General features: G+C 52.2%; 1 protein-coding gene across 8 annotated transcripts in view, besides 10 other annotated features; it reads right to left on the reverse strand.

Moving 5' to 3' along the window:
- The window catches only part of BCOR (BCL6 corepressor), a 126,032-nt gene extending 110,659 nt beyond the window's left edge, over positions 1–15,373 (reverse strand). For 4 of the 8 annotated variants that reach the window (XM_047442223.1, XM_047442205.1, XM_047442213.1 and 1 more), the window contains exon 1: positions 15,068–15,373. The gene's annotated coding sequence lies outside the window, so the exon portion shown is untranslated. The remainder of the gene's footprint in view (positions 1–15,067) is intronic. The other 4 variants (NM_001123384.2, NM_001438207.1, NM_001123383.2 and 1 more) reach the window with 1 other exon arrangement.
- Positions 7,217–7,907: an enhancer, noted in NCBI's record as "OCT4-NANOG-H3K4me1 hESC enhancer chrX:40028374-40029064 (GRCh37/hg19 assembly coordinates)". NCBI's record gives its function as "activates a minimal SCP1, AML or CMV promoter by ChIP-STARR-seq in naive and primed H9 embryonic stem cells {active_cell/tissue: H9 hESC(naive and primed)}" and the evidence as "EXISTENCE:reporter gene assay evidence [ECO:0000049][PMID:30033119]".
- Positions 7,908–8,598: an enhancer, noted in NCBI's record as "H3K4me1 hESC enhancer chrX:40029065-40029755 (GRCh37/hg19 assembly coordinates)". NCBI's record gives its function as "activates a minimal SCP1, AML or CMV promoter by ChIP-STARR-seq in primed H9 embryonic stem cells {active_cell/tissue: H9 hESC(primed)}" and the evidence as "EXISTENCE:reporter gene assay evidence [ECO:0000049][PMID:30033119]".
- Positions 8,181–8,380: an enhancer, noted in NCBI's record as "active region_29536". NCBI's record gives its function as "activates an Ori minimal core promoter by ATAC-STARR-seq in GM12878 lymphoblastoid cells {active_cell/tissue: GM12878}" and the evidence as "EXISTENCE:reporter gene assay evidence [ECO:0000049][PMID:35858748]".
- Positions 10,106–10,165: a silencer, noted in NCBI's record as "silent region_20757". NCBI's record gives its function as "represses an Ori minimal core promoter by ATAC-STARR-seq in GM12878 lymphoblastoid cells {active_cell/tissue: GM12878}" and the evidence as "EXISTENCE:reporter gene assay evidence [ECO:0000049][PMID:35858748]".
- Positions 10,186–10,265: a silencer, noted in NCBI's record as "silent region_20758". NCBI's record gives its function as "represses an Ori minimal core promoter by ATAC-STARR-seq in GM12878 lymphoblastoid cells {active_cell/tissue: GM12878}" and the evidence as "EXISTENCE:reporter gene assay evidence [ECO:0000049][PMID:35858748]".
- Positions 12,992–13,041: an enhancer, noted in NCBI's record as "active region_29537". NCBI's record gives its function as "activates an Ori minimal core promoter by ATAC-STARR-seq in GM12878 lymphoblastoid cells {active_cell/tissue: GM12878}" and the evidence as "EXISTENCE:reporter gene assay evidence [ECO:0000049][PMID:35858748]".
- Positions 14,402–14,451: a silencer, noted in NCBI's record as "silent region_20759". NCBI's record gives its function as "represses an Ori minimal core promoter by ATAC-STARR-seq in GM12878 lymphoblastoid cells {active_cell/tissue: GM12878}" and the evidence as "EXISTENCE:reporter gene assay evidence [ECO:0000049][PMID:35858748]".
- Positions 14,472–14,561: a silencer, noted in NCBI's record as "silent region_20760". NCBI's record gives its function as "represses an Ori minimal core promoter by ATAC-STARR-seq in GM12878 lymphoblastoid cells {active_cell/tissue: GM12878}" and the evidence as "EXISTENCE:reporter gene assay evidence [ECO:0000049][PMID:35858748]".
- Positions 14,822–15,021: a silencer, noted in NCBI's record as "silent region_20761". NCBI's record gives its function as "represses an Ori minimal core promoter by ATAC-STARR-seq in GM12878 lymphoblastoid cells {active_cell/tissue: GM12878}" and the evidence as "EXISTENCE:reporter gene assay evidence [ECO:0000049][PMID:35858748]".
- Positions 20,229–20,408: a silencer, noted in NCBI's record as "fragment chrX:40041386-40041565 (GRCh37/hg19 assembly coordinates)". NCBI's record gives its function as "represses an EF-1alpha promoter that drives an FKBP-Casp9 reporter gene in an ReSE screen in phorbol 12-myristate 13-acetate-treated (for megakaryocytic differentiation) K562 erythroleukemia cells {active_cell/tissue: K562(+PMA)}" and the evidence as "EXISTENCE:reporter gene assay evidence [ECO:0000049][PMID:32094911]".

Raw genomic sequence — 27,151 nt, forward strand, 5'->3', positions numbered from 1 at the left:
GAAACTCCCTCTGCCCAAGAAACAAATCCCATCTTGCTGGCTAAACAAGACACATAAGTAGGGTGACACTCCTGTCCTTCTCCCACCCACACTCCAAATAAGGCCTAGGAGGGACCCAATAACTTACGAACCAGTGCCTGCAGATGAGAGGTAACAAAACAAAGAGAGTGTATATAGGCCTACCGCGCCAACATGCTGGGTCAACACTGGCTTGGTCCAGTCTTAGGCTGATCCAGTGTGCTCCCAAGAAACCCTTTTGACCTCTATCTGTCCTGTGTCACCTTCTCTTTTCTTCTGGATCAGAGACATAATCTCTTTCTCCTTTGCCCTGAGAACAGAGCTGCCAGTAGCCTATTCTGTGTTTTGGCTGGGGACCTTTGTGCAGTACACAAACTGTACAATGTAATACAGTGACCCTGCCTGAGAAGCCAGCTTATTTCAAGGGCCATCCCCTGAATGTCGCTTAGTTCTGACCCACCTGCTGAATCTGGGTTTCTTTGTTTGGGTCTCAGGATAGGAGTTGGCCCTGCAGACCCAAAATCACCTCAAGGGAGGCTAGGGTGAACCAGATACATCCTGGGAAGCCGTGGTGAGGTCAGGAAAGGGGCAGGTGTGGCAGAGTTCACCCAGGTGTATTACACTAATTCGGGGCTCCAATCTGCACTGAGGTCTAAAATCTGAACGTCATGCCTCCAAAGTCTTACTGAAAATGAAATCTTCAGGAGGGGAGAGGAAAGCAGGCCAGAGGGTACACATGCCTTTTGGATTTTCAAAAATGGGAAAATGATTAGATTTTGGATTTAGGGAAGATGTGTCATGTTAAGGGAGCCATAGAAAATAATAACTGCCAATTCCCAAGCAAAACAAAATCATGTTTTCCACCACGTTTCTATCTGTGTCTCCTAGTCGAACCCACAATAAACTAGCAGATCAAATAGCAGATCAAAGGCAGAGGCAAATACAATTATGCCCGTGAAACCTCTAGCATGAAATTAGAAGTCAAACTCTCCATTCAGGGGTTAGAGACAAGGATAATGGGAACCTGGGGCCCTAGAGATGTACCCAGGCCCTTTCAGTCACAACACTATCCATGCTGGATATTTAAAACCACACCTCAGGGAGGGCACAAATAGTAAGTATTAATTGTTTTTCCATACACACTACAGGAAATGCATTGACTACATTCCTAGCTTTGTACCATATAAAGATAGCTGTATACTGGTGGTAGAGGGGGCGGTGACTTATAAGGCAATAGTGAAAATAATGTTGTTGGGAGCGATGAAGGGTTACTAGATCTTCCCCAAGACAGTAGGCTAAGGATGGCGGCAGATAGAATGCTAATCTTTTACCTGCTTCCCTTTCAATGCAGAAGAGCCTAAAACCCATCTGATCCCACCACTCAGTTCTCCCTCAGTCCTTCCCACATTGGACAAGATCATAGAGACAGCTGTCTTGATATATTTTCTATTTTTCCTAAAATCCATATTTGCTTTATAGGCTCTATTTCTTTTACCCTGGCCTAATTTTAGCTCTCTGAGTCCCCCTGCCCCCATATAATTTATGAGGCCTCTTGAGGGTAGAAACCCCTATTACAATGTAGACTAGTCTGTTTAGAGCTACTGCTAATTAAGCTTAGCTCTCAAAGGTGCCTGGTATGGCTTCCCCTACCACCTTCCCACCCCCACCCCCACCCCACCATGGCCACAAGTTCTTTGACACTCCTCCCAAGTGGAAGTAGGATCTCTGTCCCTTCCCCTTGAATCTGGATGGGTTTGTGACCACAATCGCAACCAATGAATATAGACTTCAAGGGTGGATTAGAAAAGGTGATGCAGCGGGCCAGGCACGGTGGCTCACGCCTGTAATCCCAGCACTTTGGGAGGCCGAGGCAGGCAGATCACCTGAGGTCAGGAGTTTGAGAACAGCCTGACCAACATGCTAAAACCCCGTCTCTACTAAGAATACAAAAATTAGCCGAGCATGGTGGTGCATGCCTGTAATTCCAGCTACTCAGGAGGTTGAGGCAGGAGAATCTCTTGAACCTGGAAGGCGGAGGTTGCGGTGAGCCGAGATGGTGCCACTGCACTCCAGCCTGGGCGACAGAGCAAGACTCCATCTCAGAAAAAAAAAAAAAAAAGGTGATGCAGCTTCAGCCTTATTTACTGCAATGCTGGTTTTCTGGAGCCCTGAGCTGCCGATTTGTAACTTAAAGTCCTATTACCCTCAAGGCACCATACTGTGAGGAAGCCCATGCCACATAGAGAGCCCTGTGCTCATGCTATGGGACACAGCTGAGGTCCCAGCCAACAGCCAGACATAAAGTAAAGACCCCTCCGGATGCTTCCAGCCTCCAGCTGTTGAGTCCACCAAATTCTGGACCCACAGATTCCAGGAGCAGAATTAAATTGCTTCTGAGCTCCCTTGTAGCTGACATGCTATAGGGGAAGAGATCAATTTCATAACTTATTGCTAAATCCATGGAAGAAGGTGAACTGGGTTAAAAACAAAAGTGTGACAGGCAGGAAATTTTTTTTAAGGAAATTTCTGATCATAACCCAAATCCCCCACCTTTGATAACGCAGTGTCTTATTCTTTCTGAAATCCCTGTAGGACAGTGACCTGTGTCTTCCTCAAATCTGATCTCACATTTTCCCTAGAGGATCTGGGTAAAGGACCCTAACTATTGTCCCCTCCTGACCTACATTGGCTGCACAAGGGAGCCAGTTCCCTAGGCAGGAAGGGAGAGGGGCAAAGCATTTCCACCAGGCTGGTTTTGCTCTCCCTTCTCTTCTCTTCTCTCTTGTTTTTCTTGCCTCTCCTGGAGGGTGCTCATCTCAGGGATAGGGAGGGATGAATTATGCAAGAAGTGTTAGCTTACTTCATTTTCTTCCCAATTCCCCTACAAATCCCACACCTTTTCATTCTGACCCCGACTACCAGACTTGTGTCACACACCAAATGCCATGAGCTTCCATTCACAAAGCTAGGAATGTGCAGCAGTGCAGCTGGCCTCTGTCCCCCACCATTTCCTCCTTCTCTGAGCCAGGCACTCACAGGCCCCTGATGCCCAGGCGGCCCATGGACCCTGACCCTCAGGCTGCCCTCCTGGGGAAGTGCCAAGCTCAGGGAGATGGGAGGAGGGGCTGAAAGACATCTGGAATGTGATGGACCGAGGAGGGGAATGGGGAGAGCCCAGGTCTTACCCCCACTCTCAAACAAGCAGAGCAGCCAGGGAACAGGCAAAAATGATAAAGCAGCTTGCAATGGGGAGAAAACCAGGCCACATTGTGTGGGGTGGGGTGGGGGATGAGAGGTGGGGAGCTACTGAGCAGACCAGAAGGAATAGCAAAGAGACGCAGGCAACCCCGCTTCCCCTCCCCGCCCTGCCAAATGCCAGAGGATGAACCCGCCAAAAATAAAATACAGCCATGATTACTGGAGCAGAGGTCAAAGCTGAAGGGGCAGTTCTCCTCTTGACCACAGAAAGCCAGCACCAACTGGGATTATCTGCCAGCCACTCATCTCCAGCAGCCTGGTCCGCAGTGCACAACTAGGCCCCAGCCACAACCAGCCCTGTGCAGGAGAGTCCAAGGGTCTAGGACCTGCCCCTTCCCCAGAGCCTGAGACCAAGGCTGGCTTGGCTTCCCAAGTTCACAGCTTTGGAGCTGCTTGCCCTGTTGGACAGTGCAGTGGGGTCCTGTGGCTCCAATTCACACAGTTTAGAAACAATTCCTTCTTCTGATCCAAATCCCAGGCCAGAGAGACCTGTGCCTAGCTAGGGTGTAACACAAACCTTCCTACTTACAATTCAAACAATATCAGTCCAAATCCTCTCTTCACTCCTTCAAGAGCAAGGGCATGAGATTATCTATCTATCTATCTATCTATCTAGTTTTGCTTTGTTTGAGAGAGTCTCACTCTGTCACTTAGTGGCACAATCTCAGCTCACTGCAGCCTTGACCTCCTGGGCTCAAGTGATCCTCCCACCTCTGCCTCCCGAGTAGCTAGGATTACAGGCCTGAGCCACCACACCCAGCTAGGGCACAGTATTTATTAAAAACTTTATTATCATCTTCCTGGTGCTTCACCTGCAACTACTTCATCGGATCTTTCTCCAATTTTTTGATGTAGGCATTCTCATACCCATTTTGTAGATAAGGAAACTGAGGCTCAGATAGGCTACACAACCACTGGGGGCAGAGCTCCCATCTTAAGCCCGTATGCATCTTGATCCAGAGTTTTCCATCGTAGCTTGTGATCTCCCATCTTGATTACTTATTTTGTGCCAGGTCCCGGGCCGGGCCTGCAAAGGTGAATAAGACAGTCCCTCCCCTTAGGGAGTTCACAGTTTAGTAAGGGAGACAGACTGCAACACAGTGGGACAGCAGCTCTGACCTCTGAATTCGGGTTGGTGGAAGTACCATGGGAGTCTTTGTGAACATCTCCATCATCACTGCCCCTTCACCCCGGCTCTATTTCCTAGCCCCTCTGGTTCCTTCTCATAGGCTGCTCCTTCTTGTCCTTCCTTAAGACAGACACTAGCTGCTGGCTTCCCTCCCATGCCTTTCTTTCCTCCTGTTAATGAGGTCTGAACCCACACACCTGGCAGGAATCTTGGCACCCTACCTGCTTGGAGAGGTTGCCTTAGTTGAGTAAACTTCCTTGGCTTCTGGGGCCCCAGGGGAGAGGCTAGACCCTGACTGCAGCCCCAGGCTGGCTCAGGTGGAAAGTGGGCACAGGGGCCCCAACGCTGAGCAGGCTGGTAGGCCCTCAAAAGGCTTTTATTGAAGCCTGTTAAAGGGCTTTGGGCTTCCTCTGATGAAAGGCGCTTAAGTGCATCTGGTTATGATTACAGGGGAGGAGAAAGCCAGGCGGTCTCTGGGGGGTTGGACCAGTCATCTGGCTCTGCCTTCCTCAGGGCAGAGCTGGCTGCTGGTGAGGCCAGGAGGCCAGGTGTGGGGGCAGGCAGGAAGCAGGACCAGTACAAAACTCTCCAACTCTCTGAGGCTCCTGACCCCAGCCTCTGACTTTGTCAGGCTGGACTACCAGAAACAGCATCGGGGCTCAGAAGTGCCAGGCTCCTTTGAGAAAATCAAGTTCAGAGTGGCTGCTGACCACCCCTGACTCACAGCTCTTCACTGATCTCCACCTCCCTCCATCTCCAAAATATCCTCCCAAGAACCCCTGACCCTCCATCTACCTTCTCCACTGCTCTTCTCCCTCGGAGGAAGTTAAAATAGGCTTTTGCCACAAGGGTTTCTGACAGTGATAAAAACTAAGGAAATGCAAACTTTCAAAAGTTAAAAAACCTCAACGTTTGCTTTCTCTTTTTCAACTAGCCAGGTATTGTTTCCCATAAAACAGACATCGTTAAGGCTGTTTCACGTCACTGTAACTGACAACCATGCCGAATTAAGGGAAGAGATTAATATGAACGTAACGTGGCTGCCCTGGAACGTCATCGGGCAGTCCCAAGCCACTCTGTGCCCGGCGCCTGTCCCTGCGCGGAACTCCACGTGTGCACAAAATGCTCTGGGGAGGGGAGGATCGGATGGGTTAAACACAGTCCGCGGTTCTAGAAACGAAAATACATTTCCTTATTCCCGCCCTGATTTAATCCTGCTGCGTGTTATTATTGTCAAGTCTCTTCGCACCACTGTTTCTAAAAAGAAAACCCGTGGGTCTGCGCGGCCCTCAGCCGCCTGCTCGGCTTTTATTGTGCACGCAGCCTGGTCTGCGTGGATCCAGCACGTCGTGACCGCCTCGCAGGCGCGCACGGACACCCTCGGATTGGCATTTCTATAAGAGCTGGGCGCATTGTCTCTGCGGCGACACACACACACCCACACAGATAATAAAGGGCCACGGACTCCTGACCAACCCTCCTCGCAACCCATAATTAGAGATGACCTTTGCGAAAGGCAATTAAAATATGGTAATGATCGATGGGCTCGCCTGTTTCCAAAAAGGAAAATACACAGGTGTTGGCTTCAGGAGGCTCCACCTGGCCGGGCCGCGAGGCCTCCTACAGCTCATGAATGAACTCTTTCTCCTGGGAAGCTTCGATTCCCCGCTACCTACGCTAGCGCTGGCTCCTCTCCTCCCTTTCCCCTCCCCCACCAGAGCTCTGGCAGCCAGGAGCTTGCTGGCGGCGGCGGGGCTTTGTCATCGGAACGCACACACAGACACGCACACGCGCGCACCCGGCCACCACGGGACCGCGGCAGCCGCGTCCTTCCTCGCTGCGCTTCCTTCCCTGCCCCCTCTTTTAAAGAGCTCCTCCAGACCCTTTCTTTTCTTCCGTCCTTTATGTGTGCGGTCCTTTTGCATCAAGGAGCTCAGGAAGCATTTTAGGGGGGCCTTCCGCGGAGCGCCGGACAGCTCCTGGGAGGCAGAACTCAGGACCCTACACGCGCGGAGAGGACGCGGGGACAGCCGGGCTTTGTTTTGTCTCTTGCCTCTGCCGGGAGGGCGGAGAAGCCTCGGCCGAGCTGGGGCCCACTGGCGAATTGGCGGCGGCAAACACCCCCCTCCTAGCCTAAGTGGAACCTGAAACTCCGGACTTGGTCCGGGTGGGGCACAAAGCTACGTGGAGGGTCTCCCAGTCCACAAGTGGCTCTCCCCACACAGACAAATGTGCAGTGTCATTATGGTGGCTCCTGTTGCTCGAGGCCTCGGGGGTGCTCCGGCGGTGCGCGCACACCTCACCTCCACAAGGCACGGAGGGCGAGAGGGGGGCCAAGGGGCTGGGGCTCCCCGGGGGGCTGCCTGGAGGAGACGCCACATCGGGCCTTCCCGCACCCCCGGCTGCCTTCCTGGACCGCGAGCACGGAGCCAGGGCGGCCTCTCGCCTTTCATTACGGGGCCTACGAAAGCAGCAGCCCAGGCAAATATGTAGCTATTAAAATTAATCGCCCCGCGTTGTCAGCTGAACATAATGCAAATTATTTATGGGCTGTCTGCGCAATATTTATCATCGTGCAGGCTCCAGGCGCTTCGTGCCTCCTGGCCTCCCCCGCCCGCCCGCCCTGGCCGGCGCAGGGCGAAGCTGCGCGCAGGCTGCAGCGGCCTGGGGGCTCTGGGAACCCGAGTGGGGTTCCAAGGGCGAGGCCGTGCGTCAGGCCGTCTTCCAGGCCGAGGGCCTCACTTTAGTTTCTGCCATTCAGTACACATTTATCGGAGGCCTATTACGTGCAAAATTAGGAGGTCCGCGAAATCGGGGTGAAAACCAATTTGGAGAAATCTAAACCAAACAGATGAGCTCGGGCTCGAGGGGCGATGCAGACAGAGGCTCCTCAGCTGCACAAGAGAATTTTCTCTGGCTCAAGTCGGTCCTTCAACCTGGGAAACCCATGTTTGCTAAAGCTGGATTCGCTCTAGGAGAAACAGGGAGCATCTGATGTGCTCAACAGATTCGAGTACAACGCTATCGACTGGAACAGGAATTCGGTGTCCTTCGAGCCTCAAAACTTGTTTGCTGATCGCAGATAACAGATTAACTGTTAATTGTCGAAATCGGCCAACCATTTAGTTTATCACTGTTGGGGGCCCCTTGGTATTCGCTGCACTTTTTATATGTAAAAACAGTCTTGGTACCTCCTAAACGGCTTTTGTGTGGCTTTTGTTTCTCTTTCAAATACGGTGTTTTAAAAAACAGCAGCAACACGCCACCCCACCCCCTCTTCAACCAAGCCTTCTGGTTTAAAAAAAAACAAAAACAAAAACCAGGAGGAGAAATAATCTATAGGACAATCCCCCCCCTACTGGTCGGAGCTGGCGTTGGGGCTTTTTACGCAGATCGAGTCGCCCAGGGCTGCGGAGGTAAACAGGCTTTCTGCACCGCTGCTAAATGAATCACGAGGGGGAAGAACCGAGACTGCTGGGCGAGGGAGGCCTCGGGATCTGGGCCGGGAGCCAGGGCGGGGACGGCGCTGCACGGGGGGCAATGAGGTGGAGACGGGACCAGGGTTAACCCTGGTCCAAGGCCCCAAGGCCAGGGAAGGGAGAGTAAGGCCGGTGGGCGGTCCAGCCGGAGGCCCCTACTCGCTATCTGCGAGGCAGGGTGAACGCGCAGCCTGGGCCTCCATCCCCAGCGCGCCTGGGCACCACCTGGGGCCGGTCACGCTGCCTGAGCCCATCTGCGAGGAAGGAGGTCACGAGGCACCCCCTCCCACAGAGTTTTAACAACTCCAGGCCTTCAAGACGCAGTAGCAGGCCTGGGTCTTCTGATGTTCATTTAAAGCAAAATGATCGCCTTTCTTCACTGTCCCCACCCCAGACGCCAACAACACCTTGCACCTAGCAGACCAAGCCTGAGTCAAGACGTCCTTCGGTCCTGGGGCTGGGGGAATGGCTACCAACGGGCATCTCTTCTGCAGACTAACAGAAGGGGATATAGCCAGGAAGCTACTATAAATTTATATTCTTCTTCCGGTTTTGTTTTGGTTTTGGTTTTTTTTTTTTTGAGACGGAGTTTCGCTCTTTTGCCCAGGCTGGAGTGAAGTGGCACGATCTCGGCTCACTGCAACCTCTGCCTACCGGGTTCAAGCAATTCTGCCTCAGCCTCCCCAGTAGCTGGGATTACAGGCGCCCGCCACCTTGCCCGGCTAATTTTTTGTATTTTTACTAGAGACGGGGTTTCGCCATGTTGGCCAGGCTGGTCTCGAACTCCTGACCTCACGTGATCCACCCATCTCGCCTCCCAAAGTGCTAGGATTACAAGCGTGAGCCACCGCGCCCAGCCTTCTTAAAATGTGATTTGACCCAATTTAAAGCCTCCCTTTCTTCCCCATTAACCTCCAGTTTTTGACAGATTTTCTTAGAACATTCCAAAGATTCTCTCATTACTTCAGAAACTTATCTCGAAATGATGTAAAAGGAGGTTCAAAATATTAGGTTGCTTTTGGGTTCCCTTTATCTCGAACATTGTTGCGTAGATTTGAGAAAGGGCTGATTTCTACTTTGTTTTCTAATCAGCAAGTCACTGGTTTTTCTACCTAAGAGAGACTGAACATTAACCACAGTGAAGCAGAAGGGTTGAGCCGCATTTACAAAGTGCCTTCACATTTTGGTCCTCAGAAACCCATCCGAGGGGGACAGAGTAGGTGTTACTGTTCTGATTTTACACATGAAGAGACTGGCCACTCGCCCCCACAAATTTCTGGAAGCTAGTCTTCCTCACTGAACTGGAGCCAGAAGCCATGTGAAGCCAGCCTGCTCCTGCCTACACCCTCCTTCCTCCAGGTCAATGTCATTTAGAATATATTGCATCCTTTTCTTGGATCTGTCTGCTAGGACCCGGGCCACCCTCCTGCTGGAGGCAACCCCGACAGCCCATATTTTAAGCAGCTCTTTTCACAGCCTGCAAACCTCACGGATTGTCTCTTACAACTGTCTGTTTACTCACTTCCCTCCACCCAGTCAATTCCGACTCCAGGCCCGGGAGGACAATTTTAAAGTGTTTCTGCAGACAGACCCTCTGGCCGCGCCGGAAGTGTTTTATGGACCTGTGAGCCGAGTTAATCCCAGGAGGCGCGGCTGGATTAGTCCCGGGTATGGGTGGGGGATTCATGTGTTTAGGTTTAATCCCCATGGGGGGGGGGCGTAAGGAGAATGGGGGTCGGGTGGCTTCAGCAATGTGTGCCCCCTCCCCATTAAACTCCGAGATTTGCGCTAGAGCGGATGGAAACCGAGGCACGCAGCCCTCGACCCCGGCCAGGCGTGGAGTAGGGGAGCAGGGGGTGCCCCGCGTGGGCGCACCCTAAGAAACCAGTGCGGACATGGCGAGCGAGACCAGAGCGCAGTTGTGTGTGGTTTTTCCCCAGGTTTTTATTCTTCCAGCCCTGTGGAAAGGAGGAGAGCCGCAACCCGGAGAGGGAGCCGGAAAGAAACACTTAATCACCGGCGTCTCGCTGCTCGTCACGCGAAGATGGCAGCGGCTCCCCTGGGTTTCAAGGTTCCGGGAAAGGCGTGTGTTCTGCCTTAAGGCGCGCGGGCTGATGCGCTCTCTCCCTCGGCTCGGCGGCCGGCTCCGGCTCACAGAGCCTCTCTCAACGCCGGCAAGTGCAGCCGGGCCGCCCAGCCCCCAGGCCAGCCTGGCCCCCTCTGGGCCTGGGGTTGGCGAGGGCAGCTGGGCGTCTGCGCTGCCCAGCCCAGCCGCGGATCCATGGGGTTTCGCGAGCTGAAAGTAAAGGCTTGAGGGAGTGGGGACACCCACACCGACCCGCGGCACGCAGGGGAGTCAAGCTGCGGCCAATGCAAGACGAGCAGGGTAGACTACTACTAGCGGTGGCCGGAGGCTCAGCCACCTTCGCGGGAGAGGGGATTTACCGCCACCCTCATCCACGCGCAGGCCCCACCGCCCGGTCCTCTCCTCTGATCCCCGGGCCATTGCGAAACACGGAGCGAACAGGTCCTCGCCAGCAGCCGTCATTTCCCGGGAAGATGGGAACCCACAAGCCTGACTGTGCTTCCTAAGGATACTAGCGTGCGCGCAGACCTTGGGGGGAAAGAGGGCAGCGCGGTCTCCCCGACCCGGACTCTTCCCTGGCGCAGCACACAACCGCCACGGGCTTCCGAAGCGCCCGAGCGGGGAGGAGGAAGGAAAAGCGGAGGCCCGGGAGGCGGGCTGCGCGCTTGGAAGCCGTGTGTGTTTATGTGTCTGCGCGCGCGCCCTGGCCGGACGGGTGTTGAGGGGAGAGTGATCGTGAGCAACCCGGAACCAGCAGTCCCAACCTGGACTGACGAACTGGGCTCTCCAGTCCTGGGCCGTGGGGCTCCATGCCTCGGGCTGGCGGGACAAGCGGCGGGGAGCCCGGAGCTTCGGAGCCGCCGCCGGGCATCTAGCCAGCTCCGCGGGAGAAGCCCGGGGGCGCGTCGGGAGCCAGGGGACTGGTGTGAACTAGCCGCCCCCGCAGGCGGACGTTTAGCTCCGGCACCCGGGAGCACTGACACTGGGCGATAAGGAGTTCCTCGGCAATCGGCTGTCCCCAGTCCCCAGTCACCTCCGGCGGACGTGACCGCCGGATGCTATGCAGCTAGGTGGGCCAGGGGGGCCTTTGCATTGCCTTCCCTGACCCCTTCCTTGCCGCGGAGGAGCCACAGTAAGATGCCTCTGTACGACTCTCCAGAACTTTCTTTTGCAAAATAAAGGCCAAATGTTGGGCCTTCTAGTCTCTTCATATTTTCCTTTGGAAGGTTGGGGTCCAGGCAGTCCTCTCGAAACAACCCCCAAACAGATCACTTTCATTACAAAACGCTAGAGAGGCAACACAGCCCTATTTCTCTCTCTGGTCAATCCAGGCCCTATCTCTCCCTCTGGTCAATCCAGGCCCTATTATCCCAAGCTGTGCGGCTTTGGGCAAACCGCTTAACAGTTCGAAACCTCGGAGTCCTCATCTGTAAAATAAGACCAATACTATTATCTACCTCGTAGGGTTGTTCTGAGGATAACATGCCTCCATACATAAGGTGCTTAGAACGCTGCCTCCAGTACAATGCTACGTGTGTTTGTTACTATGATCTGGCACTCCCTTTGGATGGGTAGGGAGTACAAAGTTCCGGGTTAAAGTTCCTGGAAGTTTACATGGAGCCAGTGGTCTTGGCAGGGTGGAAAGGGCACTATTGTATGGCCACTGAAAAGTGAAGGCCAAATGCCCTCAAACTGTCTAGGTCTCCACTAGACCGTCCCATAAAGGCTTGTGTGTGTGTGGTGGTGGATAGGAGGGAGAGTCCTTTTTAATGGTGCTCATTTAGACTGGATTAATAGCAAGTTCCGTCAGGGCTCAGGCACCATTACCCACTCTCTCCCTGCAGCCCTGGGGAAGAGCGCTGGTTTCCAGGACCTCCAGCCTACTCTTCCAGGACACCTTTTTTGATGGCTGAAGGCCACCTCTTTAAATCAGTTCTCGGAGGAGTTGGCCAAAAGCCATGTCCTCTGGGATGTACTTTGGTCTAACACTGGTGCAGGGCTGGCGTATGGCAGGCCTTGTCCCTGGGCCGCTGGCGGGCCACATTTTACTGGTGCACAGATGCAAATACCACTTCTGTAGACAGAATCGGTCAGACTTCTAATTTCAAAAGGCTTCCCATTACCTTTGAAATGGCGACTCTGGCAAAAAGGGGAGGAGTTGCGGCAAATAAGAGCCTAGGGAGGCCTCGGCCTCCCCTGCTTGGCCTCTCCAGGGTCACCCATAATTCATTAGGTGAGGCTGCCTTTTCCTTTTCAAACACAACGCAAATGGCCTTTGCCTTAAGTGGCTACCGGCGTTTGCCTAATCACTGAAATGTGCTGGCAGTGCGCTCTAGCTCTCAGTAGATCCTTATCGGAACTGTGCGTGCCAAGCTGCCAGCCCCGAGAAAGACAAAGAACACGGGCGCCTCCAGGTTTGCTTCTGAGGCCTCAGGGTCACCTCTGGGGCTTCCCCTTCACAGCCTCCGGCCCCTACAAGACGCTCCCAGCCAGCCTCCGGAACAAACCCGCAGCCCTAAATCAGAATTCCAGTTCTCGAGCGCCACCCGGAGAGTTCACATTTCCCCTCCTCCGAGGCCGCGTGGTGCGCAAGAAAGAGCCCGAGGGCGGCGGCAGCACACGTCTGGGCAGCCCCCTCCCCGTACCCAGCAGCGTGTACGCAGGAAAAGAAAAAGCCAAGAGAAAAACGTGGACTGTAAAAGCCAAAACGCAGAACCATCTACTACTAACTACCGACAACCCCAGGCGGGAGTTTGCAAGGAGTAAGCAACCCTCTAATAGAAACTACAACTAAAATAATTCCTCTCTTCGCGTTCTATTAAGGTCCTGGAAGGTGGAACGCAAAGGGGACCCTGTCTTCTTAGGACACAGACTGGCTGCGCCGATAGTGCTCAGCCCCGCACCTCCTGAGCATACATTTAATGTTAGGCAAAGAGCAAGTTTCCTATCTACCGTTTGACCACAGTTTCTCACAGTATTTCTAATTGATTCAACGTGTATTAGATTGAAACAAAAATGATCTTGGTTGGAATATACACGGGCAACCTGTATTTAGATGGGGTAAGTTCCTGCAGCTATCTGACCACATTTGTCTGGTCCCTCTGAGAATCCACGTTTTCTAGCCCGAGAAGGGGCAGGCGGCCCTCATGGCGCCTCCTTCGGCGGTTTCCTGGCGAAGCGCCCATCCTCCCCAAGCACCAGGAACGGAGGCCGTCCATATTAATACTCGCGGGCAGCCTGTTCTGACCTATACTGTCATTTTTTCCATCGGTCGGGATCGGGCTGGGGGTGGGGTGGGGCGGGGGCTCTCCTCCGAGGGGCTCAGCACGGATCGTTGGGTTTTCCCCGGCGAACTTAACACGGAGGCAAAAGGGGCAGATGGAAACCAGGCCCCGGCTGGCCCCGCGCGCGTAAGCGCGGCACTCAGCAGCTCGACGCAAAGCCAGGGCTGGATTTTCGCGGCCCGGGCCCGGCGGCCGCCCAGCGCCCGCGCGATCCTCTCTCCTTCGGGTTGAGCAAACGTGGTCGCCTAATTCCGCCCGGGAGACAGCAGCTGTGCGGCGAGAGGGGGAGAAAAAATATCGCAACTTTTCCAACAGAAAGTGTGTGCGCACACGAGAGGTGAAGGCCCACCCCGATTCTGTGCACGTATCGACACAGCATCTAATCAGTGTCACTGCCAGGAATACGCTTCCGCGGCGGGCGACACCGCCGCCCTCGCCAACCTGCAGGAGGGAGGGGGGATGCAAATGGCGTCTCGCGTCGTCCTAGACTCCGCGCAGCACCCGCTACCGCGACTCCAAGCAGACGTTGCAGCAAACTGGGGTGCAGCGTCTGGGGACGCGAACGCGCAGGCGGCCCGAGCGGTCGCAGGGAAGAGGAACTAGCACCACTCCCCGCTACGAGACCGTTCCCCGCCCCCACCTCCGGAAGAGCCGCCCTTACTCGACTGGGGTGAGGGGCGGGAAACTTTGCAAGAAGACTGTTCCGCGCCTTCCCCGCGTGGCACCTCAGAAGAACGTGGGTGGGTTTCCCGTCCGAGGCCAGACCACGCTACCCTACTTTTCCAGGTTTCGGACCTGAACCTCGTGGACTACGGGAGGGAGAGTACATTTCGGGCCACTGCGGGGGGCGGAGGGACACCAAAGACAGGCGTCTTCAAGGGTTCTGGCAGATGGCCAAGTTTGTGTCCTTTCCCTCCCACGCTAGAGTAGCGCACGCCACTTTGGGGAAGCGTGAGACCGTTCACCACCGGCCACGAGGCCACCAATGTCTTCCAGGTGGGGCCGATGGTTTGTCTGCAGCACTCCCTTCCGCCTTGCGGTCCTCGCCTGGCTCCCACAGTCCTGGGGAGCCCCCAGAGCTAGCCCGCGTCTTCCCTCGCCCGCTCTTCCGGGGGAAAGGGAGGCTGTTTGTGTGGTGTGTAGCCCCGCTCCGGCTTGCACCCCCGCGAGCCACCTCGCAGCCCTCCCCGGCCTCGGCCTCACGGATCCCCTCCCGGAGTAGCCCCGCGGGCCCCCCCGCCATGCGTAATGGGGCGCCCCTGGGACGCAGGCGGGGATGGCGGTTCCGGTCGTTCCGGGATTTGCGTGCAAGAAGAAAACAAGGCCGGCGACTACAAGAGCGGCGACTCCATTCTTGGGGTTCAGACGCCCTCGCAGCCTCCGCGTCGGTTCCGCTCTCGCCCCGGGAGCCCGCTTCCGTGTCCCTGCCCCCGCCCCCCAACGATTCCTCGTCCGGCCCGTGCCGCACCACGCGGAGCTCCGCGCGCCCTGGCTCCCACACCGGTCCCTCCATAACTCGCGCTCCTCCCTCGCTCCGGGCTCGGGGAGCCGCTCGCTCCCAGCGCCCAGAGTCAGCCGGTTCCACCTTCGGCTGCGAGAGCCGCCGCCCCGCGCCACCCCCGCCCGGCCCGGCCCTTGTCCCAGCCCGGCTCCCCCGCCAGCTGCGCCGCCACCGCCGCACGTGACCCGCCCCCGTCGCGGCTTCCGCTGAGCTGCCTGTTCCGGGGCACAAACAATTTTTGCTCTGACGCGGGGTCTCTCGGGGGCCCTGGCGTCCTCTACTCCCTGCTCCCCACCCCACCCCACCCCCTACCTTCCGGGTAGGAGAACTCAAAACAACTCGCTGACCTTCGGGCCGACCAGCTCCGTCTTCCACTGACTCCAGCATTCCGTTCAAACCCAGCAGCCACGGCTTCTAAGATTTCACTCCGCTCTGGGCTGGGGGGGAGGGGGCGAGTTCTCCGGGAGGGGGTGTCTCAGATCGAAAGAGCCACTTCACGCTCTTTCTCCTCCTCCGAGGTGAGTTTTTAGACTATTTGGAGGCCTTGGGGAAACGCGAGCAGCCGCGTGCAAAGGAGCCCCCCCGCCTTCTCCCCGCACATGCAGCCTTGTCTAGTGTGACCCGATTTCCAGGGTCAGCAGCAGAGGGCCTGGCCAGCTTCGGAAATACCACCAAGCGGTGGACTGTGGCACCAGGCAGAGCTGGGGTGGAGGACTGTGCTAAATAATAATGGTAGCTCCTACTCACGTGGTCTGTGCTAAGTTCTTCACAAGCCTTCCAACTTTACAGAGTGAGAAACTGAGGCATAGGGAAAGGTCAGTCGTGTAAAACTGGGTAAAGCTCAGTTACTCAGCTAAGTAAGTGACTTAGTGAGGATTTGAACCCAGGTCTCTGAGTTCAGGGTGGTTAAACATGCTGTAAGTATGTTACAGTGCATACCTTGGTATCCACAGTACAAACCTGTCTACAAAACCCAGTGTTTGCTTGAGAGCTGTATATTTGGCGTGTAACATTGTGGCTGGCATATAGTAGGCACTCAATAAATATTTGTGGAATGAATGGGTGTCAGAATAAATGATTGACAGAATCATTGATGACAAGTGATGAGAGAAAACAGTCCTAACCATTGTTCTTCCTAAGAGAAATAAAAACCTCTAGCTGTTTTTTGAGTGTTCGCAGGTAACAGGAAACTCTTATTCAAAAATATATTAATCTCCTACCCCTATCCCCTAGCCAACCACCCTGGTAGTCATTTGAACTTGCTGGGGCACATAGCCAAAGCAGCTTCTACTTGGTCTCGGCCATTTTTTCCCAACCCTGTTCCTGTTCTGTAGGATTCTGCTCAGGGTCAGGCAGCCTGGAACTGCAATTGATGTGATTCTGAACACATAAGCAGCAGAGGAGGAGGGTACACCCGCCAAACGTGGTTCGTTGGCTTCCCTTCTACCCGCTGGTGGGGGCTCGGGGGAACGTGGCTTATATCTCTGTGGTTATTTTTGAATTCACGGACCACCCTGTGCAACTGGCTTCAACCCTCACCAGCTGTGAGGTTGCATCTCGAAGTGTAGGCAGTCATCTACTTTAACCGACAGCTCCGCGATCCCAGTCAGTGGGACCACATCTGTGATTTGAAGAGCTGCCACTGGTGCTCTGTACTGTCCTACTGCTTCTCGTGGCCCAAGAAAGGATGCATTAAAAACACTTATATTTAGATAGCTCAGTAGAATAGATGTTCATACCATATAGTGGGAGTAAGTAGGGTAAAGTTTAGAAAATCTCCCCTGTCCCTACTTCATTTTCTAAACCTTACCAGTTATCCTGTGTTACTAGTTGGGCAACCTGAAATGAGGCCAAATTCCACTTCATGTTACCTGAGTGTGAACTTTCTCCTTTCCAATTTGATCCATCCAATATCTATTGACTACTATCCTTCCCTCCCTCACTCCTTCCTTTTTTCTTTCCCTACCCTCATAGTTATCTATTTTTGCTCATGTTCCTATGATTATTAATGGAGAAATGAAAATGTATATATTCTCCAAGTTACGACCCTATCTTGATTATAAGGCTGGGGTTTCTGCCACCTCTTTTTTGGGGGTGGGGGGACAGAGTTTCGCTCTTGTCACTGAAGCTGGAGTGCAATGGCGCAATCTCGGCTCACTGCAACCTCTGCCTCCTGGGTTCAAGCGATTCTCCTGCCTCAGCCTCCCAAGTAGCTGGGATTACAGGTGCGCACCACCATACCTGGCTAATTTTTGCATTTTTAGTAGAAACGGTGTTTCACCATGTTGGCCAGGCTGGTCTTGAACTCCTGACCTCAGGTGATCCACCTGCCTCGGCCTCCCAAAGTGCTGGGATTACAGGCATGAGCCACCGCGCCCAGCCTCTGCCACCTCTTTTACAGTCTGGTCCGGAGTGACCAGCAAGACCTCATGACCTCAACTTGTGGCAAGCCCAGGTTGGAAGCATCTGATGATTCCCAAGGAGGTCACAGGCCTCAATCCCACATTGCTGGGTTGTAGTTGAGAACAACCTTGCCAAAACTCACCCCTCATGCCGAGGGGGCTGGTGACAAGTGATGCTGAACCAGAGGTTTGGGATGCTAATTTGATTTATTATCTGTGTACAGCCTGGGGAGGAGAAAAGGCTCATAAAAGTGTTCTAGGCTGGTCATTCTGAATGTGAGCATTTATTTATCTGCAAAGCTGCCGAATATCCCTGCAGGAAGTCGCAGGCGCAGCAACCCCTGACTGCACAGACAAAAGTCTCCCCTTTACACAGGGCTGCTTTTATTGTTTCCAACAGCTTTGTGCTTTCCCTGGGGGAAGAGGAGAGTCACATAGCAAGTGTTCTTCCTCTTTTCTCACGCTGCAGAGGAAGTGATGTTGTGGAAACAGTGGCATTAACTTGGCCTTCGAACCACACAGGAGCCAGAGTTGGGAAAAGCTCGGTGCAGGCAGACACTCCTGTGGTTCATTTAGGCCCTGAGAAACTCCAGCCTGGGCCTAAGCGTGGGGATGATGGGTGCACACAATGCAAGAGAAACCATACTTAGGAATTATTCCCCGGATACAAGGGGCCCCCAAGATATAGATGTTCTTGACCCCTTGAACCTGCTTCCCATTAGGAGTAAAGCCCCCAAGGGATGTATGGAGCATGTTTCTTTCATTCTTCACTGATTAGACATTTATTGATTGCCCACTTTGTGCCAGGCACTGTACTAGGCACGCAATGGTAAGCAAGAGACATGGTCCCTGCCCTCATGGAGCTTACATTCTACTTTTCTTGGCACACAAGCAAACAGGGTAGAGGATACAGCCCCTACCATCAAATCCTGCAGTGTCTTTCTCCTTAATATCTATCCTGTCCTCTTCCTCATCCAACTACCCTTCAGATCTTTTTGGACCCTTCAATAAACAGTTGGGCCCCACCCCTCCCCAAACTCATCTCCTCCATCTGATCATTCCACCCACTGCTTTAAGTCCTAGCAGCAAGGAGAGGGAAAGGGGCGCTCCCAGCTGCATCAGCCTCTTTTATAAAGATTTCCCAGAAGTCCCACCCAATGGTTTCCACTGACATCTCATTGGTCACCTCTTTGTTTCTCTTTTTTTTATTTTCTTTGAGACAAGGTTTTGCTCTGTCACCCAGGCTGGAGTGCAGTGGTGCAATCACAGCGCACAGCAGCTTTGACCTCCTGGGCTCAAGTGATCCTCCCACCTCAGCCTCTCAAGTAGCTGGGACCACCATGCCTAGCTAATTTTTTATTTTTTATAGAGACGGGGGTCTCACTATGTTGTTCTAGCTAGCCTCGAGCTCCTGGGCTCAAGCAGTCCTCCTCCCCAGCCTCCCAACGTGCTGGGATTTACAGGTATGAGCCACTGTGCCCAGCCTGGCCACCTCTTGCTGCAAGAAGGAAGCTGCATGTCTCAGTAAGTTCAGGCTGTTATAACAAATTACCAATTTGGGTGGTTTAAACAAAGAAAAAAGCAATTCTCACAGTTCTGCAAGTCCAAGATTACGATCAAGGTGCTGAGAATCGCTTGAACCCAGGAGGCAGAGGTTGCAGTGAGCCGAGATCTCACCACTGCATTCCAGCCTGGGCGATGGAGTGAGACTCTGTCTCAAAAAAAAAAAAAAAAAAAAAAAGAAAGAAAAAAGAAAAATCAAGGTGCTGGCAGATCTGGTGTCTGTTGAGGGCCTGCTGGAGCCGTCTTCTCATCGCACCCTCTCATGGTAGAGAGCAGAGAGAGGAAGCAAACGCTCTCCTGTCTTTTTTATAAGGACACTAATACCATTCATGACCTAATTATCTCCCAGTGGCCCCATGTCCTAATACCATCACATTGGGGTTAGGATTTCAACATACGAATTTGGGAGGGACATGAATATTCAGTCCATGGCACTGAGAAATGTCATCTTTTAGCTTGGGTACATTGTTATCTCAAATTACGAAGGAAGAGCAGGGGATGAATATTGGTGTAGGCAACTGGCCACCTCTGCTCCTAGTCTCATAGAGAGTATGAGAACATTAAGCATGTGGGTGGAGAAGATTCAGTAGAGACCTTTTGGGGTCTAGTCCTGGTTCACACCCCTGTCGCTGGGGGTCGGGATGCCAACAGCTTCTATGTAGCTGTAGCTACCACCAGATAAGCTAGTTCAATTTTTTTCTCCTGGGAGCAGTGGATTGGGAGAGAGAAGGCTGGTTAGTCAGGACAGGGCTGGCTCCATGGGCAAGCGACCCGTGCAGTCACATGGGCCCCATGCTTGGGGTTATTGCTCTGTAGCTACCATCTTGAAATTCTGGGAAAAAAGTCCAGGCGCGGTGGCTCACGCCTGTAATTTCAGCACTTTGGGAAGCCAAGGCAGGTGGATCACCTGAGGTCAGGAGTTCGAGACCAGCCTGGTCAACATGGTGAAACCCCATCTCTACTAAAAATACAAAAATTAGCTGGGCATGGTGGCACACGCCTGTAATCCCAGCTACTCGGGAGGCTGAGGCAGGAGAATCACTTGAACTCGGGAGGCGGAGGTTGCAGTGAGCCAAGATCACGCCACTGCACTCCAGCCTGGGCAACGAGAGTGAGACTCCGTCTCAAAAAAAAAAAAAAAAGAAAGAAAGAAAAGAAAAAGAAAAGAAAAGAAATTCTGGGTAAAATGATGATGTCCATGTCTTTTTTTTTTTTTTTTTTTTTAGACAGAGTCTTGCTCTGTCACCCAGGCTGGGGTGCAGTGGCAAGATCTCGGCTTACTGCAAGCTCCATCTCCCAGTTTCACACCATTCTCCTGCCTCAGCCTCCCGAGTAGCTGGGACTACAGGCGCCCGCCACCACACCTGGCTAATTTTTTGTATTTTTGGTAGAGATGGGGTTTCACCGTGTTAGCCAGGATGGTCTCGATCTCCTGACCTCGTGATCTGCCCGCCTCAGCCTCCCAAAGTGCTGGGATTACAGGCGTGAGCCACTGCGCCCGGCCAATGTCTATGTTTTATGAGTAAAGTATGATGAGACAACAAGGCATACACCAGAATCTTGCTGTTTCTGCTCATGCAGGGACCTACCTCCTGCTGCTTCCTGGCTCACCTCCCTGAGATGGGTCCACAGATGCCCACTCCCCAGTCCCTGGAGAGCCCTGGGCCCTGCCCAGACTCCCGCACGCCACCCTAGCCTTGGGACTGCTACTGCCCTCTGTCCCTGGCAGGGGCCTCGGTGCTAAAATTGGGAAGATCAGGGTCGTGGTCAGATATGTTTCATGGCATCTTGGGGTGGGACAAGGTGGTAGCCTTCCCTCCCCAGGCTGGCAAGGCCACACACATTTGGCAGGGGCCTCTCCCCAACCTGTGCACCAGGTGCACAGTGTCCCAGCACGAAGGTTGTGATTTCTTGGAGGCTGCCTGACTGCCATAGATTGGGGCAGTGGGCCTGGAAGAAGGGGAGATTGATTTCTTTGCCTGGGGCCCCGCTTATTTTATTTTGTTTTATTTTTTTGAGACAGGGTCTTGCTCTGTCTCCTAGGCTAGAGTGCAGTGGTGCTATCATAGCCCACTGCAACCTTGAACTCCTGGGCTCAAGTGATCTTCCCACCTCAGCCTCCTGAGTATCTGGCACTACATGTACATGCCGTCATGCCTGGCTAATTAATATTTATTTATTTATTTATTTATTTATTTATTTATTTATTTTTGTAGAGACAAGAGTCTCACTGTGTTGCCCAGGCTGGTCTCTAGCTCCTGGTTTCAAGTGACCCTCCTGCCTTGGCTTCCCAAAGTGCTAGATTACAGGCACGAGAGCCACAGTGTCTGGCTGGTCCTGCATTTTAATTTTTTTCTGGGCTCTGCAGATTATGTAGTCTGTTCTGACCACAGAGCCATTGTGTTTGAGTCTGTGTATGCCAGGCCAGGGAAAGCCAGTCTGCAGAAAAGCAGGGAAAAATTAAGCCGAAGTGCAATAGAGCTCCTTCAGAAACATGTGGCTCCAGAGAGAGGGCAAACATAGGCTCCTGACACGATTTCAGTGCCTGGGTCCTGGCCCTGGGAGGCCTGGCTGCACTTTTGCTCCTGTGTTCTTCCAGTCAGTTCCATTCTCTTCCTTGCACTACCATGAATGGATTTCCCTGATTGCCAACTAAAAGTTTCCTAACCAAGACCAAAATAAAAAAGAAAGAGCTTGGCTTGCAGTTCCAGCCCTAACTTTGCCATTTAACTAGCTATGTGACATTGGGCAAGTTAGTTATTCTCTCTGAGCCTTTGTTTCCTCAGCCTTAAAAAACTACTGGACATGATAGTACCAGTGCTATCAATTGCGATGAGGATTATCTGTTTTGTTTTGTTTGTTTTATTTTTTTGAGACAGAGTCTCACTGTATTGCCAGGCTGGAGTGCAGTGGCACGATCTCTGCTCACTGCAACCTCTGCCTCCCGGGTTCAAGTGATTCTTCTGTCTCAGCCTCCCGAGTAGCTGGGATTACAGGCACCATGCCCGGATAATTTTTGTGTTTTTAGTAGAGATGGGGTTTCACCATGTTGGCCAGCCTGGTCTCGAACTCCTGACCTCAAGTGATTTGCCCTCCTCGGCCTCCCAAAGTGCTGGGATTACAAGCGTGAGCCACCGCACCCAGGCCCTTCTTGTTAATAGAAGGATTGAAGGCACAAAAACATGCAGGACATTTAGAGTGAAATGACTTCCTTCTCGCACTGTTTTCTCCATACTTAAATACTGTTTATTTGAATCTGGTTAACTCTAGTAGGTAGAATAGGGCTGCATAAGATGGGTGTCAGGTTTGAACACTGGACAGGCTTGCTTAGTGCATTTCTAGACTAAGGACTAAACCTATAAGGTGGATATTCCAATTATCTATTGCTGTCCAACGAACAATCCCAAAACTTGGTGGTTTACAGTAGCAACTATGTCAATATATCTCATGGTCTTATGGGTCAGGAATTGCATCAGGACAAAGATGGATGATTCTTCTGTTCCACATGGGGTAAACTGGAGTCACTCAGTGGTACTCAGGTGGTGAATGTGGTCTGGACGGGGCCAAATCAGCCTCATGTACATGTGTGCTGCTTTGGTGGGGAAGGCTGGAAGTCTGGGCCCAGCTGGAACTGTAGAATGTGGTGCCCTTCCGTAGCTTCTCCAGCATGGTGATCTTAGGGTAGCAGCACATCTTCCATGGTGGCCCAATTTTGCAGAGCGAACCAAAAGACCAAGACAGAAGCTAGCCTTACACATCATGCAGTATTACTTCTGTTGATTCAATTAGTTACAAAAGAGTCACAAGCCCACCCAGATTTAAAATCAAGGCATTATACAAGGGTGTGAATACCAACAGGCATGGGTCTTTGGTGAAGGGGCATCTTTGGAGACTGGCTATCACAGTGGACTGATCATTCATAAAATCTGTACCCTTAGTCCTGGGTGGCAAAGTGTGACTGTGGATGGGAGAGTTTGGATCCATTCCCATTCATCATCGTAAGGGTTCCAACAAATCCTGAGTGAGGACCAGGAGATGGAAAGACTCTGGGGAACATCAGCCTCTGCAGAGTATCTGAGAGCTAAGCGCCTGGGCTTTGGATGTTAAACCTTAGTCCTGGTTCAAAACCAGCCTCTTGGGCTCTTGAACTTATGAAAAGTCTCAGATTCCTATGAGGGAGTTACTATAATTATCCCTGTTTTCTATAAGAGGAAGCTTAATTAAATTGCCCAGAGTCACAGCTAGAAGATGGTACAGCTGGAATTTGAAACCAGATATTTTAACACCAAAGCAGTGGACATTTTACGGTTTACAGTTTAAGTAACTTTTCTGAGGTCATGGTAAAAGCGCTTAGCAAACTTAGAAGGGAATGGAAATTCCTACGTCTGATAGGAGTATGTATAAGCAAAACTTGCAACAAACAGTATATTTAATGGTAAAATATTGAAAAATTTCCCCCTGAGATCAGGAACTAGACAAGAATGCTTGCTATCACTACTTCTATTCATGATTATACTAGCGGTCATAGCCACTGCAATAAAGCAAGAAAAAGAAATAAAAGGCCTCCAGATTGGAAAGGAAGATATGAAAGCGTCATTATTTGCAGATGGCATGGTTGTGCACACAGAAAATACCAAAGAACCTACAATTCAACTATTAGAATAAATGAATTCATTCTGAATAGCATTTTTGTCAGGAAAAATCATTTATGAATTCATCAATGTCACTGAATTTAATGTAGAGGATCTATTGTGAGGATTCAATGAGAAATTTATATCAGATACTAAACCCTTACCTACTTGCTCCTCACAACCACCTCTCTTTGGCCTGTGATACTGGTCACACTTCTTCCCTGACATCCTCTTTTCTCTGGCTTCCTTGACACTATTCTCCTTGTGTCCTGTCCTCATCACCCTCCAGATTCCTTTCCCAGTCTCCTGTTCAGGTGTCTGCTCCCACAGTGTCAGGCATGCTTAGGGTTCGGTCCACAAGCAGTGCTGTGTCAAGCACAGCTCCATCATGTTCTGTGTGGATAGCACCTCCTGTGGTTGTCTGACACCTTCATCATTTCTTCCTTGGACTCTCACTGACCTAGTCTTCAGCTCTCCTACCTCCAGTCTTGTTCCCTTTGCATCCATCTGTCACACAGCCCCCAGGGTGAGCTTCCTAAAATGCACAGCTGATCTTGCCATCCTTTCCCTGTTTAAATTCTTTCAAGACCTTGAGACACCTTGACTAAGTTTAGCATCCTCTGTGCGGTGGTTTTTTTTTTTTTTTTGAGACAGAGTCTTGCTCTGTCGCCCACGCTGGAGTGCAGTGGTGCAATCTCGGCTCACTGCAAGCTCCGCCTCCTGGGTTCACACCATTTTCCTGCCTCAGCCTCCCGAATAGCTGGGACTACAGGCACCAGCCACCACGCCCGGCTAATTTTTTTATTTTTAGTAGAGACGAGGTTCCACCGTGATAGCCAGGATGGTCTCGATTTCCTGACCTAGTGATCTGCCCGCCTCGGCCTCCCAAAGTGTTGGGATTACAGGTGTGAGCCACCGCACCTGGCTTTTTTTTGAGACGGAGTCTTGCTCTGTCACCCAGGCTGGAGTGCAGTGGCACGATCTTGGCTCACTGCAAGCTCCGCCTCCCGGGTTCACGTCATTCTCCTGCCTCAGCCTCCTGAGTAGCTGGGACTACAGGTGCCCGCCACCACGCCCAGCTAATTTTTTGTATTTTTAGTAGAGACGGGGTTTCACCATGTTATCCAGGATGGTCTCGATCTCCTGACCTCGTGATCTGCCCACCTCGGCCTCCCAAAGTGCTGGGATTGCAGGTGTGAGCCACCGCACCCAGCCTGTGCAGTGGTCTTATAGCCCCCGTGATCAGTCTGCTGCTCGCTGCTAATGTGCCATGTTCTCACTTCCATGCCTGTCTTTTTTTTTTTTTTTTTTTGAGATGGAGTCTTGCTCTGTCGTCCAGGCTGGAGTGCAGTGGCGCGATCTCGGCTCACTGCAAGCTCCACCTCCTGGGTTCACGCCATTCTCTTGCCTCAGCCTCCTGAGTAGCTGGGACTATAGGCATCCACCACCACGCCTGGTTAATTTTTTGTATTCTTAGTAGAGATGGGGTTTCACCATGTTAGCCAGGTTGGTCTCCATCTCCTGACCTCATGATCTGCCTGCCTCGGCCTCCCAAAGTGCTGGGATTACAGGCGTGAGCCACCGTGCCCGGCCCCATGCCTGTCTTAATTTGGGTACCTCTACAAGCTGATTCTGAGCCAAGGGTTTTTGAGCATAAGTAAGATGATCCCAGGAATCACAGTGAGGGCATGGGAATTGAGACAGGGCAGGGAGGAAGGCCAGTAAAGGGTGCATTCGTGAACAGGTTACCTATATGGGCAATTGGGGTTCAATCCTGCCGGTGACCTTCTGGGGTCCTGTGTAGCACATCCTTTAGGACTGTCCCAGCAAGGGGTGAGGAAGCAGGAGTATTTATCCACCAACTCCCACACAGGGGTGTGCTAGTAAACCAGCTTTCTGGTAGAATTTAAAAAGTCCCAATTTGTAGTGTTTGCCGATTGTCATGGTATAAATATTCCTACTAGGGCTGATTCCAGGCTCTCAGTTTTAGCAGTTGGCTGGCAAATTTTCCAAATATTTAACAATCCGGCTCTCCAGAGCTAGTACTGCTGCCCCAGCACACCACTGCCCTCATTCCTCATGAGTTAAGGGTTATCTCTGGGAAGCTGAGCACTTAGGATCTGCCCCCACACACAGTGTCTAGCTGAGCATGCTTCTGAGCCAAGAGAACATCCTCAGGTGGAGTGGCAGGAAGTCCTCATTGTACTTGGGAAGTCTTTCCAAGTGGCTTCCAGAGTGGATGGAGGGAAATGGGTGGGCACCATGGATCGCTTCAAGGGCTTTGCACAGGCTATTCACTCTGCTTGGAATGCCTGCTCCTTTTTTTTTTTTTTTCTTTTTTTGAGACAGGATCTTGCCCTGTCACCCAAGCTGGAGTTCATTGGCATGATGATGGCCCACTGCAGCCTTGAACTCCCTGGCTCAAGCAATCCTCCCATCTCAACCTCCTGAGTAGGTGGGACTATAGGCTCACACCAACATGCCTGGCCAATTTTTTAAAATTTTTTGTAAAGACGGGGTTTTGCTGTGTTACCCAGGCTGCTCTCCAACTCCTGGGCTCAAGCAATCCTTCCACCTCGGTCCCCCAAACACCCAAAGTGCTGGCATTACAGGAGTGAGGCACCGTGCCCAGCAACCTACTCCTTTATTTTTTATTTTTTTTAGACAGGGTCTCGCTCTGTCACCCAGGCTGGAGTGCAGTGGCGCAATCTCGGCTCACTGCAGCCTCAACCTCCCAAGTTCAAGCGACCCTCCCACCTCATCCTCCAGAGTAGCTAGGACTACAGGCGCACAGCATCATGCCTGGCTATTTTTTTTTTTTTTTTTTTTTGTAGAAACCGGGTTTCATCATGTTGTCCAGGCTGGTCTCAAACTCCTGGGCTCAAGTGATCCGCCCGCTTCAGCTTCCCAAAGTGCTAGGATCACAGGTGTGTGCCACCGAGCCTGGCCGCCTACTCCTTCTTAATCCCCTTGCCGATCTCCTGCTTATCCTTTGATCCTCAGTTACAGTGTCATCACCTCTGTGAAGCCCTCCTGGAGTTCCTGCTTGTCCTTTCTCTCATTACAGCACAAAATCATGCTCTCAGCTTGTCAGCTGTTACCCATCTTTCTCTTCCACTAGATTGCAAGCTGCTGAGGCCAGGGATAATGTCTATTACTTTCTGTACCAGGAACCTTGTCCTATAATCTTCTGTATCCTCGGTGTTTAACCCAGTGTAGCTACTTAATAAGTAGATAAGCGGCCCCACCCCACCATGGCACACAGTAATGGTTGAGTCAAATGAGCATTCTTCCTCCCCACTCCGCATTTACAGATCTGCTTCTCAATCCATCAACTGGTCTCGCTACAGCTTTATTGCTTATTCCCATCCATTTCCAAAGAGGACTTTAGGCAGCAAGCAGGTGCTTCCCTTCTCATGAAGGTGTGAGCGACCATATTTTCTGAAGCAATGATCAAGACACGTGATCTGACACATGTTCCAACACATGGTCTGACAATGGGACAGAATATTTTAAATCCCCACCGTCTCGACAAATCTGGGCTGCGTGGCTCTGTGTAGAAGAGAGCCAGGAGCCACGGCCTCGTAATACACACCCAGAGCAGGCAGGAGTTCTGTTTTAAAGACCTCTGTGATTTTAAGAGCGGCATGTGAAGAGAGCTGAAGAGAGAGGTTGATTTCTGCAGCTCTCTAGCTGTAGTGATCATACGGAGCAGGGAAAAATTTGTGGTAGAAACAAGCTCTCATTAAGACCATATGCTCTCTTACTAATCGATGGCTCTTAGAAGTAATTCCCCGACA

The sequence above is a fragment of the Homo sapiens genome, chromosome X (assembly GCF_000001405.40).
Source record: "Homo sapiens chromosome X, GRCh38.p14 Primary Assembly".
NCBI lineage: Eukaryota > Metazoa > Chordata > Mammalia > Primates > Hominidae > Homo > Homo sapiens.